The sequence below is a fragment of the Homo sapiens genome, chromosome 16 (assembly GCF_000001405.40).
Source record: "Homo sapiens chromosome 16, GRCh38.p14 Primary Assembly".
Lineage (NCBI taxonomy): Eukaryota > Metazoa > Chordata > Mammalia > Primates > Hominidae > Homo > Homo sapiens.
The window spans coordinates 46,615,302-46,629,054 of NC_000016.10; the positions used below are offsets into that span (position 1 = coordinate 46,615,302).

At 48.8% G+C, this 13,753-nt stretch overlaps 1 protein-coding gene and 1 pseudogene across 6 annotated transcripts in view, besides 2 other annotated features; both read right to left on the bottom strand.

Annotated features, from left to right (window-relative positions):
- The window catches only part of SHCBP1 (SHC binding and spindle associated 1), a 42,789-nt gene extending 36,711 nt beyond the window's left edge, over nucleotides 1-6,078 (bottom strand). For 5 of the 6 annotated variants that reach the window (NR_136738.2, NM_001324319.2, NM_024745.5 and 2 more), the window contains exons 1-4: nucleotides 5,956-6,078; nucleotides 2,904-3,071; nucleotides 2,333-2,448; nucleotides 645-853 (exon numbers count right to left, since the gene is read on the bottom strand). Coding sequence is in view for 5 of the 6 variants with exons in the window: in NM_001324319.2 (NP_001311248.1) it covers nucleotides 645-853; nucleotides 2,333-2,448; nucleotides 2,904-3,071; nucleotides 5,956-6,058 (596 nt within the window). In the remaining variant the exon portion in view is untranslated. The remainder of the gene's footprint in view (nucleotides 1-644; nucleotides 854-2,332; nucleotides 2,449-2,903; nucleotides 3,072-5,955) is intronic. The other variant, NM_001324318.2, reaches the window with a different exon arrangement.
- Nucleotides 5,221-5,809: an enhancer, noted in NCBI's record as "H3K27ac hESC enhancer chr16:46654434-46655022 (GRCh37/hg19 assembly coordinates)". NCBI's record gives its function as "activates a minimal SCP1, AML or CMV promoter by ChIP-STARR-seq in naive and primed H9 embryonic stem cells {active_cell/tissue: H9 hESC(naive and primed)}" and the evidence as "EXISTENCE:reporter gene assay evidence [ECO:0000049][PMID:30033119]".
- Nucleotides 5,810-6,396: an enhancer, noted in NCBI's record as "H3K27ac hESC enhancer chr16:46655023-46655609 (GRCh37/hg19 assembly coordinates)". NCBI's record gives its function as "activates a minimal SCP1, AML or CMV promoter by ChIP-STARR-seq in naive and primed H9 embryonic stem cells {active_cell/tissue: H9 hESC(naive and primed)}" and the evidence as "EXISTENCE:reporter gene assay evidence [ECO:0000049][PMID:30033119]".
- On the bottom strand, nucleotides 7,574-11,693 carry RAB43P1 (RAB43 pseudogene 1; annotated as a pseudogene).

Genomic DNA, 13,753 nt, shown 5'->3' on the forward strand with positions numbered 1-13,753 from the left:
GGGGAGTCAAATGTTATACTCAGATTTTTGACTATGTAGGGGTGGGGGGAGATAGGCACCCCTAACCCCCACATCATTCAAGAGTCAACTATACTAGTTTTGTCAGCTTTTCTATAAGTTTGAAATTATCATAAAATGATTTAAAACATTTTTAGACCAGGTGCACGGTGGGTCACACCTGTAATCCCAGCACTTTGGGAGGCCAAGGCAGGTGGATCACCTGAGGTCAAGAGTTCGAGACTGACCTGGCCAACATAGTGAAACCTCATCTCTACTAAAAATACAAAAATTAGCAGGACATGGTGGTGCACACCTGTAATCCCAGCTACTCGAGAGGCTGAGGCAGGAGAATTGCTTGAACCCAGGAGGCGGAGGTTGCAGTGAGCCGAGATCATGCCACTGCACTCCAGCCTGGACAACAGAGCAAGACTATGTCTCAAAATTAAAAAATAAAAAAAAAGATTTAAAACATTTTTAATTTTTTTTAATTTAAAAAAGATTATCCTATCTTTGGATATTTTTAAATATTGCAATGACCAAGTTTACAGTTGAGTTTTAAATCTGGGTCTAACACAGACCAGAATTACTTCATTTCATCCAAAGTTTCTGGCCACAAGGTTATTTTTCTCAACTTCTTTTCCTACCTGACATGCTCAATTGCAAGGGCTGTCTGGTCAAACACTCCTGAATCATCAAACACCACCCACAGCTCCTGCAGGGGCAACCGATGCTCCTTCAGATCAAGGAGCTCCTTCATGCACTCCATGGTAAAAGTGCTCACTTGAGAGTCACAGAGGTATGGTTCAGCAAGCCTCACCACTGCCTTCAAGGCTGCAAAGTCCACATCTGTGATCTGAAATTTAAAATAATGTGACTTAACACATGGAAATCAAAATGAAGATACACCTATAAGACACTACTGACAACCTGATTTTTTTAAAAGCATACAACATGGGTGGGGAGGCTTTACCCATAATATAAAGGATGAACAAGACAGGCTGCCTCTTACCCTCATGGAGCTTACACTGTAATCAGGGAGATCAACAAACACAATGATAACCAGTAGGTGACAGAGAATAACTAGCAGGGGTGGGGATCTTGTTCTGCTGAGATGGGCAAGGAAGTCAGCTCTGAGCCAGGCTGAGGAGGATGAGAAGGAAGCGGCCATCTGAAGAGCTGGGAAAGCACAGAAGGCCTGTGGCAGAGACAGGCTTGGCAGCTGGAGGAGCGGAAAGGCAGTCCTTCTTGCTGGAGCCAAAGGGAGGAAATGGAGGAGGGGGGCGGTGTGCAGTGGAGCAGCAAGATATGAGGTGAGAAAGAGAGGCAACGAGACCAGGACATGAAGGACATCTGAAGGAGCTTGGATTTTAAGTGTTTTCTATACAATGAGAAGCCATAAAGCCAACACTAAGCCCTTGGTAAAGACAATATCTTAGGAGTTTTAAGCAGAGAAATGGCATGCTTCTGTTTTAAAACAATGACTTTCATTGTTTTCGGAGAACTGATTGGCGGGGGGGCACTTATCATAACCAAATGAATAGGCCTGAACTTCAACCAAAAAATATTAGCACAATCCAAAATTTTAAAACTCACAAGCAATAGCTGCAATCCACTGCCTTGTACATAATCACTGTAGTATGTGATGCCATTTTCTAAGGGAGCTGCAGCAACAACTTGTATTCACACTCCCTGGTTTGACATTTTAGTTTACTAGGGCTTTTTGTGGTCAGTTAACAAACACTGAGAAAAATTCAAAGCTGTAATTAGAATGCAAATGTAATCTAAAAGGCCTAGTGAGAAGAAGAATAAGACTGTTTTTACATTCTGCAATGGGACACACTGTCAAGAGATTAACCACATATAAACAAATTTGCTAGGCAAAAACTGGGCTAGTTTAAAAATGCCTCTTAGCAGAGGTTGCAGTGAGCCGAGATCGTCCCACTGCACTCCAGCCTGAGCAACACAGTGAGACTTCATCTTAAAAAAAATAAATAAATAAAAATGCCTCTTAGGTTTGAGCTGCTTAACGAATTACAATTAAGAAGTTAAACACTTTTTTGAAACCATTAACTTCATAATTAGGCCTAATTTTTTAAGTGATCTCAAATACCTTCTTTTAATTAATTTGAACCAGTTTAATTCCCTGGTAACAACTCCTCAGTTGCCTTTAAAATTTGCAGAACACTTCCTACAACATGGCAATTAGATGTGAAAAACATGCTATTTGAATCAGCTCATAAACTTTAATTAAAAATAAGCACTTTGGATATAACAGTCTGAAGTAAAGTGCTTAAAGCTAGAGACAAAGGTCTAATAACAAAATTAACCTTACCTCAACCAGCACCTTGAACACATTAGTGTGCCAGACTGCCCGCCATCCAGATGGCTCAAGGACCTTCTCCAAGAACTCAGCTGTGAATTCCTGTACCTCAGAGGCCTTGCAGTCAGCTACAAACAAATTAAACACAGGAAGAATTGAGAATGCATAAAGCAGAGGGAAGTTAATAAATCCACTTTCTCAGAAACAACTGGCAATCTGAGGGACTGAAATAGATAATCTACTTGCAAACTAAAAAGATAAAAGATGCAAAAAACCAGCCAGGCAGTGGCTCATGCCTATAATCCCAGCACTTTGGGAGGCCGAGGCAGGGGGATCACCTGAGGTCGGGAGTTCAAGACCAGCCTGACGAAAATGGAGAAACCCCGTCTCTAGTAAAAACACAAAATTATCTGGTGGTATGGCGCATGCCTGTAATCCCAGCTACTAGGGAGGCTGAGGCAGGAGAATCACCTGAACCTGGGAGGCGGAGGTTGCGGTGAGCCGAGATCGCACCATCGCACTCCAGCCTGGACAACAAGAGCGAAACTCCATCTCAAAAAAAAAAAGCAAAAAACCTACTCACCTAAAATGTAATCTTGATAGGCTCTGAATCGCTCATAGAACAAAAGTTGATTTGTTTGGAAAATTTCTGGGAAAAAGGTTTTTCCTTCTGGCATAAAACTTTGTAAACTAGAACCTGGTTTATCACGGTAGCTACAATCACTGCATGAATCTTCATCTTGGAACAAACCTAAAAAAAAAAAGCAAAAATAAGCAAGCTCCAGTGCCTTATTTGAATGCTTCTATTTTCATATCCTTGCATAGAAATCCCAAACAAAATACAAACAAGAATTTGAATATGAATAGTCTACTTACCTCTACCATTGTGAGAAGAAACTAGTTTTCCAAACTTAAAAATATTTCAAAATCCAAATTCTACTTCAAAACAATAAGCGCTTAAGATCTTTCACAGTTAGATTTTTGTTGTTGTTCTGTGAGGTTTTGGGGAGAAGTAGAAGGCTGTTTTTGTTTTTGTTTTAGAAACGGTCTCACTCTGTCACCTAGGCTGGAGTGCAGTGGTGCGATCATAGCTCACCGCAACCTCAAACTCCTGGACTCAAGCTACCCTCCTGTCTCAGCCTCCTGAGTAACTAGGACTACAGACATGCACCACCACATCCAGCTGGAAGACAGTTGATTTTTAATTCAGTGGAAATCACTCAAGATCTCCTACAAAGCATACAGCCTGTGATTTATACTACAGTTAGCCAGTGATAATAATCAAGTATCTTAGTTATTTATTTTCCAAAGCAATTCCATAAAGCTCCTTTAAGAAAGGGAGCTGACTTCCTCTCAGATGGGTTAAGCCCTCCCTTTATTTCCTACAATATCAGTCTGTCAATCGCCCCTCAATAAACAGGGACGAGAGTCTTAATAATCCATAAGGTTTACTTCAGTAAGGTTATTAGATTCCTCCTCACTAATTTCAATGACTGTGTCTAAGGAAAAGATCAGAAAATGCAAATCACATTAGGTTTGGGCTGTATATAATGTTTCATAAGGTATGATTCAGCCAGTGGCATATCTAATTCTATGTAATGTTTTTAATAAATGAAACAACTACTAAATAAGCAATGCTAAAAAGGGTAGCATTTAGAATGTAGAGTAGTCTCCAGAAGTGGTTTCAGGGAAGGTATCTGAGCTGTTAGCAGATACCTTTTTTCTCCCTCCCCCTTGATTTTCTCCTTCCCTTTCCCCCTTCCTTCCATTTCTTTGTCCCTGTTCAGGCCACCAGAAGTACTTGACCCACAGATGACCAAAGTGTACTCAAGGGTCTACTGCTCACAAACACTGATGCACATGAACCTTAGAAGGCATCAGTACCTTACTGGTTATGTGACAATGCCTCAGCTTCCTCACCTATAAAGGGAAGATAATAGTACATCCACTTCAATTAAGAAGATTAATTGTTAATAATTTACAACAGTGCCTATTACATAATGTATATGTTTGTTAAAGAAATAGTAGTACTTCAGCACCATTCTTTTTTTTTCCAGCACCATTCTTTATAGCTTTATGGAGGTATAATTAACATATAGAAGTTATATACATTTAAAGTGTATAACCTGATGGCCAGGCACGGTGGCTCACACCTGTAATCTCAGCACTTTGGGAGGCCGAGATGGGCGGATCACCTGAGGTTAGGAGCTCGACACCAGCCTGGCCAACAGGGTGAAACCCCGTCTCTACTAAAAATACAAAAATTAGCTGGGTGTGGTGGCGGGCGCCTATAATCCCAGCTACTTGGGAGGCTGAGGCAGGAGAATCATTTGAACCCGGGAGGCAGAGGTTGCAGTGAGCTGACATTGTGTGCCACTGCACTCCAGCCTGGGCAACAGAGTGAGACTCTGCCTCAAAAAAAATAAAATAAAATAAAAAATAAAGTGTGTAACATGATGTTTTGATATACCTATACATTATGAAATGATTACCACAGTAAAGTGAATTAATATTTCCATCACCTCGCATAGTTACCTTTTGTGTGTGTGTGGTGTGAACACTTATGATCTACTCTGTTAGCAAATTTCAAGTACAAAATTTGTGTCGCATTGCACCATCACGTCATTGCCTATTAATACTGTAATAATAATACAGTATTATTAACTATAGTCACCATGCTGTATGTACATCAGATCCCCAGAACTATTCACACTGCATAACTGAAACTTTGGACCCTTTGCCCAGCATCTCCCCATTCCCCCAACCCACTGGCAACTACCACTCTACTCTCTTTCTGAAACTTCCTCTTTTTTAGATTCCCAATATAAGCGATGCCATGCAGTATTTATTTTTGCAGCCACTTTAAAAACTTTATTTCACTTCAACTTCACCACAAGTACAACCATTGGCATAGTCTTCCAGATGGGAAAACTGAAGCCAAGTGACTTTTGCCAGTTGGATAGGTGGGTTAATAGTGGAATTGTCACACTTATGTTTTCTCACTTTGTTGGGACTCTCTGCTACACAATACAACCGAAAGTGTTAACGTAAAAACATGAACCAGCTTAAAATATCAGAAAAAAAAAATAGTAATGAAACTCTATGAGGAGGAAGAAAGGGCAGAGAACTAGAAGACCCCGGTTCTATTTCTGGACTCCGGCCCAAGTTGGCGCTCCTCACTTTGGACACGTCACTACCCTCCGTGCACAGGACAGCCATCTAAGCCAAGGGTTCAAGCTTTTCTCTTCTTCGGAAAAGGGAAGTGTGGTTCGTGATCTCCTTTGAGATGCAGATGAAAAAATGGCCCCTTGAGCAACAGTAAATGCACAGTTCCCGCAAAACCCATCCAGATAGGGAATTCCTGGCCCAATCCAGCTCCCTCCAACCTCGGGGCGGGCGGAGGCCAGAGAGTGCAGGGAGAGTGGGAGATGCGGATAGGGAAGAGAGGGAGTCCCCCACCCCTGGGTACCGCCCGACTTTGAGGTCCCGTCACTGGGTCCCGGCCGCGCACCGCCGTTCCCGCCACCCTGGACAGACGGGTCCGGAAGGCCCGCGACCCAGGCGCCCTCCTAGGGTCCCGACGCCCCAGGCCTCCGCTCAGAGGCGGCTCCTCGGCCCCGGCATGGAGAGCTCACCTTTCTCCAGAGACGCCAGCTCCTGCTCCACCGCCCAGCCCATGCGCTCCGGCGCCATGGCCGCTGCCTCCAGACCGCCGCCCGTCAGCGACCCGTCAGCCATTTCAAATTTCCGCGGACGGCAGCCCAGGCAACGACGTGATGACGCAGGCTCTGCTGATTTGATAGTCGGGCCGAGGCCGTGGACCAATTAGAGTCCGGCCCCGCTCCAGCCCCCACCAACACTGCCCCCTCGCCCCAGGCTGACAGCTGTTCTTGTTCAAGTGCCCGGCCTTTGCTTTTCTGGGATGAACTTGAAGAAAGTCGAATTGGAATATAATTTGGAATGATTTTCGAAAAAAACGAACCAGCAATGCCTGGAAATGAGATATAGTGGAAAAGTCACTGGGTTGAGAGTCAAAAAACATAGTATTTAAACTTACCTGGGCTATTCCTAGTGGTATTGCCTTGGGCAAGTCATTTCACCTCCCACAAGCACAACTTCAACTGAAAAGGATGCTGGCCTACGTGGGCCCAAAACTTTCACCACCAAACACCAGTCTCTCTCTGTCTTTCAATACACACACACACACACACACACACACAGAGAGAGAGAGAGAGAGAGAGAGCATATTTTCAAAGAATGTCAAATTAAATTTAGTAAGTAAATTTGTTAATTTGCATTAATCAAAGACAACTATAATCTCCATCATAATGGCTAACATTTACTGCATATTGTGTGCAAGATACCCTCCTGCATGCGTTACCTGGATTGTTCTGTTTAATCTTCACAATGATCCTATGAGACGGGAGCTATTACTATACCCATTTTACAAATGAGCAAATGGAGTCACTAAGAAGTTAAGTCACTTCTCCAATCTAACCCAGCAAAGCCAGGATGTGAAACCAGCCAGACTCCATGAAGAAGCCTTTTAATGTCTCTGCCAGGCCATCACTACTAGAATGATGAGGTCAGCCCAAGATAGCCCAGGTAACCAGGACACCAAGTGGGATGCGTCCACAGGGGACCAAGAGCCTGGTCATGACAGTTCGTCTGTGCAGTCTTAATGTGGGGAAACATTTCCACTTATTGCTTTGAAGAAACACCTTGGGCTAAAGTCTCTCGGATCCCTTACAGCTGAAATAAAATGGAGCCAGGAGGGGTGACTGGAAAGCTGCACTTAATTGGGCTAACTTTTCCAGGAAGTAAGATTTCTTTGACTTTTGTTTGCAGAATCTGACCTTACATTTATTTGCTCACTGAACAAATACATATTGAGCACCATGAGGTAAAAACACAGAAAACAATAATCAAGACTATCAACAGGCCTTGAGGATGACGCTAGCTTTTTCATTATTCTCTTCTTCAACCTTGCCGCCCACAAACCTCACAAATGGCAGCATTTCTCCTCACCCATTTGCAGCATCACTGGAGACAACACAGTTCTCTTCTCATCCAATTATCAAATATTTCATCAACCATCAAGATATTACTCAAACCAGGCTAGGCATAGTGGCTCATGCCTGTAATCCCACCACTTTAGGAGACCGAGGCAGGCGGATCACTTGAGTCCAAGAGTTTGAGACCAGCCTAGGCAACATGGTGAAACCCCATCTCTACAAAATTTTTTTTTTTTTTTTGTTATAGAAATCTGTTTAATGGTTTAGGAATGTGTACACTCTGGCTCTGCCAAGTTTCCATAAAGGCAACTTTTCCATGTTTTAAAAAATAGATTTGGTATAAAGATTTGTATATTCATAAATAGGTGGCATGAAAAATTACCAAATGCAAATGGAATACTTGCGCTGACTGAAGCCCTGTTCACCCCAAGTCCAGGCCCTGCAGGGGTCCGAGGGTCTCTGCTGGAGGAGGCCCCAACTCCGGCAGCCTCTTAGGGAAGAGAAACTGAATTAAATGTGTATTAGGAACCCCTCCAGCTCCTTAAGCCAGCGTCGCACTGGCCCCACCGAGGCCTCAGCCCACCTCCCTCTGCTTCCCCCCGCCACCTCCACCATTGCCCCCTCCCCTGCACTCTGGCCCCTGACCCCACCTGCTCCCACTCTTTGGCAATTTATCAACAAAGGAAGAGATGACACTGTTCTCCTTCCGCCCCAGAGCCCGGGCTGCCGGGAGAGCTTAGCCTGCCAAGGGGAGGAAACAAGCCGGCTTTGTTTTGTCTCACACACTTCCCCATCTTCTCTCCCAGCCCAGTTTTAAGGGCCGGAAGGGCAGTGGGGCCCCCTCCTGGTGGGATACAGCAGGGCAGGAGCCCCTGCAACCCCAGGTACAGGTCTTGAGTCCCTGGACACCGGCTTTTGTGCCTGAGAGGGGGTGGGAACGCTTCTCTGTAGGAAATGGCTTCAGTCCAGGATCCAGGGGTAGGGGAACCTCGACCATGGGGTGGGTTGCTCCTGCCAGGGGGTACTAGGGGCAAGGCCCCAGGGTGGAGCCAGTTCTGGGAGCTGTGTCCAGCTAGGCATCTGTGACCCCAAATGGCATGAATAAAAGGGCAGGTTGCTAAGAGCCAGGGGAGGGCATGGGGCAGGGAGACCAGGTTGGCCCAGACAGGACAGAGGTGCTCCAGGGACAGGGTGCTGGAGTGAAGCCAGGTGGAGCGGTGGAGCTGTGGAGCCTTTGAAACATCCTGAGGGCCCAGGCCTGCCACAGGGTGACCTGGGCAGAGGAGAAGCCCAGAGGACAGCAAGGTGCCCAAATGAGGTCAGGGCTTCTGGGGTGGAGGGACGGGGGGGCACAGTGGCGGCGGGGGAAGGAACGTTGAGTCCCAGGTGAGCCTGCCTTTCCAGGCCAAGCCCTTGGAGTGAGGGTGCTCCTGCCTGGGGGGCGAGAAGTGGAAGTGGCTCACAGTCCAAGGTGACAAATGAACCCATCACCGGTCAGCTACCATCCCTGTGAAGGAGCCAGGGTGGAAGGCCCTGTCCATGTCCTCCCTCCCTCCCTAAGCCCTGAGGAAGGTAACAGCCCCACCTGTGAGGCCCCAGCCTGGAAGCAGAGTAGGAGAGCCGGGCTTCTTAGAGGTGGGCAGTGGGTGGTGGTGGGCAGTACTGGTAAGTATGCTTGGGTGGCTGGGACTTGCCCTGGAACTGGGGCTGAAATTCAAACGGGGAGGCCCAGGCCTTTGTTCCCAAGACCCTGTGAATGCTCCCTGTTCCCCCAAAAACAGAGGGGCTCTGCAAGGACAGGCTTCATGGGATTTCTCTTTCAGAGTGGGCCTGCAGTGAAAGACCAGCTCAGCCCCTTCTGACCATGTGACCCCAGAAACTTCAGCCCCAGCAGAAAGGTTGTGAGGCTGGAGGAAGGCACTGCCCACGGCACATCCAGTCCCAGCGGGGTCTGGGGGCACCCCTCAGTGCCAGGCACTGTCTGCCCTGCAAGGGGAGCCCAGGCACTGCAGTGGAGGCGCAGGGGCAGAGCCCAGACCCCACTCAGCTCCACTCTCACCCCTGCCACAAGCAAAGCTGCTGAGAAAGGGAGCCAGGCAGCCTCGCCTCTGGTGCCCCCCAATCTGATGCACCCAGACTCCCCTCAATGCAGGTGCCAGCCCCTCAGCTCCTGGCAGCCTTCCTCCCCTGCAGAACCAGGCTCAGCCATTCCACAGGTAGCCTCCCTGCCCAAAAGGAAGCCTGGCAGGTGAGATGCTGGCTCCACCACCAGCATCAAGCCCTGCTTGTCTCAGTCTCAGCAGAGGAAGCCCTGTCCAGGCCCCAACCCTGCCTCTTGGGTCACCGTGGCACTGCTGTAAGGCCTGCTCTTGCCCTATGGCCAGGCCTGCCTGGAAAGTGCTTAGTGCAGAGGGCAGGGAGGCATGGGGGAGGCCTCTCACTGGCCCAGGGACTGCACTGAGCCATGCCTGGCCTGGCCCTGGGAGCTAGACCACAAACCGACGCAGCCCTGCTCGTGGGTCCAAGAGCTGCTTACTTCTGGGGGCACCCATGCTGAGGGGGCTGCGAGGCAGAGCTGGGCTGACACAGACGGACTGGGATTGGCTAAGGAAGATCACTTGGCCCCTCCAGCCCTAGCCCTGGCTCTTTTGTCACTGTGATACCTCTGAGCCACATGCCCAGAGGACAATGCTGCTTCCCACATCCCCCTACCCCACTTTTGCCTTCTAACCTTGGTGCCCAGCTCAGGGTGAGGCAGTTAAGGGTCCAGGGAATAAAATGGGCCAGGCCAAGGACCGCCAGGGCCTCTCCTTTTTTGTCTGGGAGACTCGATTCCATAAACTAGACTGGGACCCACGCTCGGCTGGCAGGATTCCTGCTTGTGGGGTAAGGCTGGGTGCCTTGCGGTGCCCTCTCATCCCTGAGCCTCAAGGATGCAAGCTTCTACTTGGACCTTAAATGTCCACTTTCTCATCTCATTCCCCCACCTGCCAGACTTCTGAGTGCTGGCACTGAAGGATTAGCTAATTTTGCAACCTGAGTGGCAAAACACTGGGCCCTGAGCCAGCAGACAGTCCCCACCTAGCTGTGGGCCGTGACCCCACCTAGCTGTGGGCCGTGACCCCATGCTGTGCTGATGAAAATGAGAAGCTACACAGAAAGTCAGAAAACTCAGAGGTCCTGATAAGGCAGTGAGCCAGACCCCAGGGAGATGTCTGTGAGTGCTGCGGGGGCAGTGAAGGCAGGAAGCAGGTTCCCCGCCTGGAAGGGGCTGGGGCTTCCCTGGAGCTGCGCTCAGGCACCAAGTCTGTGGGTTTCATGGCTCTAGCTCTGCTGCTCTGTGCAGAGCCCCAGGATGACCGGGAAGAACCCAGGGCACTGGACACATCCCTGGAAAGCAGCAACCTGCTGCCACAGGTAAAGCAAACCCATGAGAGGAAACGGTCAGAGCCAGCAGGCATGGGACAGGGAGGACTGCTGGCCCCTCCTACTGTGGCCCACACCGGCGGGTTCAGGCCAGTCTTGGAATGTGAAGATGGTGGAGGGCCAGCTGCTGGCTGGCAGGGTGGCCCGCCAGGGTATCCTGCTTCCCCTTCCTCAAGGAGAGCCTCCATCCCGCAGCCAGGCCACAGGATGCAGAGCTCCAGAGCTTCACCCGGCTGCTGTAGTTGCCGGTACCCAGGAGGGCTGGCTCTGGAGGGCTGGGCTTGGCAGGCTGGGGAGAGCAAGGAGGTGGGGAGCCCCCAGTCTGCCGGCCCGGCCCCTGGTCAGCACCCGCAGCCCCAGCCTTCTCCGATGTCCTTGCTGTTCAGCTGGATGTGGTCGGGGCTCTTCTCGCTGAACAAGGGGCCCCCGTGCCGCATGATGAGCTCCGTGGCCACCCTCAGGAAGGCCTCCTCCACGTTGCTCGAGTCCTTGGCAGACGTCTCAATGGCACACAGGATGTCATAGTGCTCAGCCAGGCTCTGTGCCTCAGCCAAGGAGACCTCCCGAAGCTCGCTGAGGTCTGACTTGTTCCCGATCAGCAGCTGCACAATGTTGGAGCCCGCATACTTCCTCACATCCTCAATCCAGTGAGGCACCGACAGGAAGGAGCTCCTCTTGGTGATGTCGTAGGCAAGGATGGCCCCATTGGCACTGCGGTAGTAGCTCTGGGTGATGGTGCGGAACCGCTCCTGGCCGGCCGTGTCCCAGATCTGCAGCTTGACCCGCTTGCCCTGGATCTCCAGCGTCTTCATGGTGAAGTCGACGCCGATGGTGCTTCCCTGGCGCTCCGAGAAGGCGCCGGTCTTGAAGCGCTGCACCACGCACATCTTGCCCACGCTTGCGTCGCCCACCAGCACCAGCTTCTACAAAATATTTTTTTAAAAAAATTATCTGGGTGTGGTGGCATGCAGCTGTGGTCCTAGCTACTTGGGAGGCTGAGGTGGGAGGATCTCTTGAGCCCAGGAGGCAAAGGTTGCAGTGAGCCAAAATTGTGCCACTGCACCCCAGCCTGGGCAACAGAGTTAGTCGTGTCTCAAAAAAAAAAAAAAAAAAAAAAAACATAAATATAAATATATGTATATTACTCAAATTACTGCTTCTGGGAAAAGTCTTGGAAAGGAACAGGAGGCAACAGGGTCAAAGACCAAATACCTATGCTTTTGCAAACTCCACTAAGAACAAACTATTAAATCAAATACGTTTGCCTGTTGTGGTGGCTCACACTTGTAATCCCAGCACTATGGGAAGCTGAAGAGGGCAGATCACTTGAGGTCAGGAGTTTGAGACCGGCCTGGCCAACATGATGAAACCCCATCTCTCCTAAACATAAAAAAATTAGCGGGGACTGGTGGCGTGCACCTGTGGTCCCAGCTACTCAGGAAGCTGAGGCAAGAGAATCGCTTGAACCCGGGAGGCAGAGGTTGCAGTGAACCAAGATCATGCCACTGCACTACAGCCTGGGCCACAGAGTGAGACTCTGTTTAAAAAAAAAAATGCAGCACTGTGATAGAAAATGATGGGGGGAGACAAATTCAGACTTTAATGCAAAACACCTGATTTTAAACTTAGCAACTAACTTTTTAAAAATTTAAACACTATACAAGCCACAAAAACTTTATTTCTTAGGCCAAATTGTCCCATGGCCCACCAGATTGCAACCTCCATTCTGAGCCCAAACTACTCAGGGCACAGTGCAGGGACCAGGAGGAGTTTGTTGGAAATGCAGTCTCTCCCACGCCAACCCCAGACCTGCTGGATAAGAATCTGTGTGTGGCAAGATCCCTAGTCCCCAAGTGACATCATTCACATTTGATGCAAAGCCCTTCTGAACTGACCTCTCTCCTGAGGCCTTATCGGTTTTCACATTCCTGCTGGAAAACTTGATGTAGGTTCTTGCCTGTGATTCACCTTCACTGTGCTGCAAAGCCGGATCCAAGCATAGCCCTTCCTCCAGCGCAGATGCCTCAGCTTCATCCTACTTCCCTTCCACAGCCTGTGTGGGCCCCCACCATCTCGCACTCCCGCTGCTGGGAGAGCCTCTCGGAAGTTGCCCTCTGAGAAGCCTCCACCTACCCTACCCCACCTCCAAAATGAAATGCTCCCCTCTCACTGTCCCTAATACAGGAGTCGCAAACTTAAATGCCCCAAAAAGCTAGGCTGATACCAAGCAGAGAAGCGGCCACTGGTGTATGTGCAGTGGGGTGTGAACCCGGTGTTGCTAGGGTGGCCTTTCAAGAAAAGTCAGAAATCAAGATTTTTTGAGATATCTCCATATTAAAATGTGACCAACAGGCTGGGCGCAGTGGCTCACACCTGTAATCCTAGCACTTTGGGAGGCAGATTGCTTGAGGCCAGGAGTTCCAGACCAGCCTGGCCAACATGGCGAAACCCGTCTCTACTAAAATTACAAAAAAATTAGCTAGGTGTGGTGGCGGGCGCCTGTAATCCCAGCTACTTGGGAAGCTGAGGCACGATAATCGCTTTAACCTAGGAGGCTGAGGTTACAGTGAGCCAAGATCATGCCACTGCACTCCAGCCTGGACAACAGAGTGAGACTCTGTCTCATAAAGAAAAAAAAAAAGAAAATGTGACCAACAGGTTTCAAAAATGTTAAACACCATGCCAGCCAAATAAACCTATCTATAGACCACCAGTTTGCAATTTCTGAGACTTAGTCCACTTGTTATATTGTGTCAGAGTCTGTGAGTTCTTCCAAAGCAGGAAACATGTCCTGTTCCCTTTTGTATTGCTAGCACCTACAACTAAGCCCGACTTAGTAATGGGAAAAACTAAATAATATTGTTCTCTTCTATAGAATGTGATATCACTATGTCATTAGCCAAATGGCTCAGGTTTAGAGTCAAGCACTGGGGGCCTGGACCATGAGCATCTGCACCCAGCTCCCGGCAGGAACCACAGATTCATCAGCAGT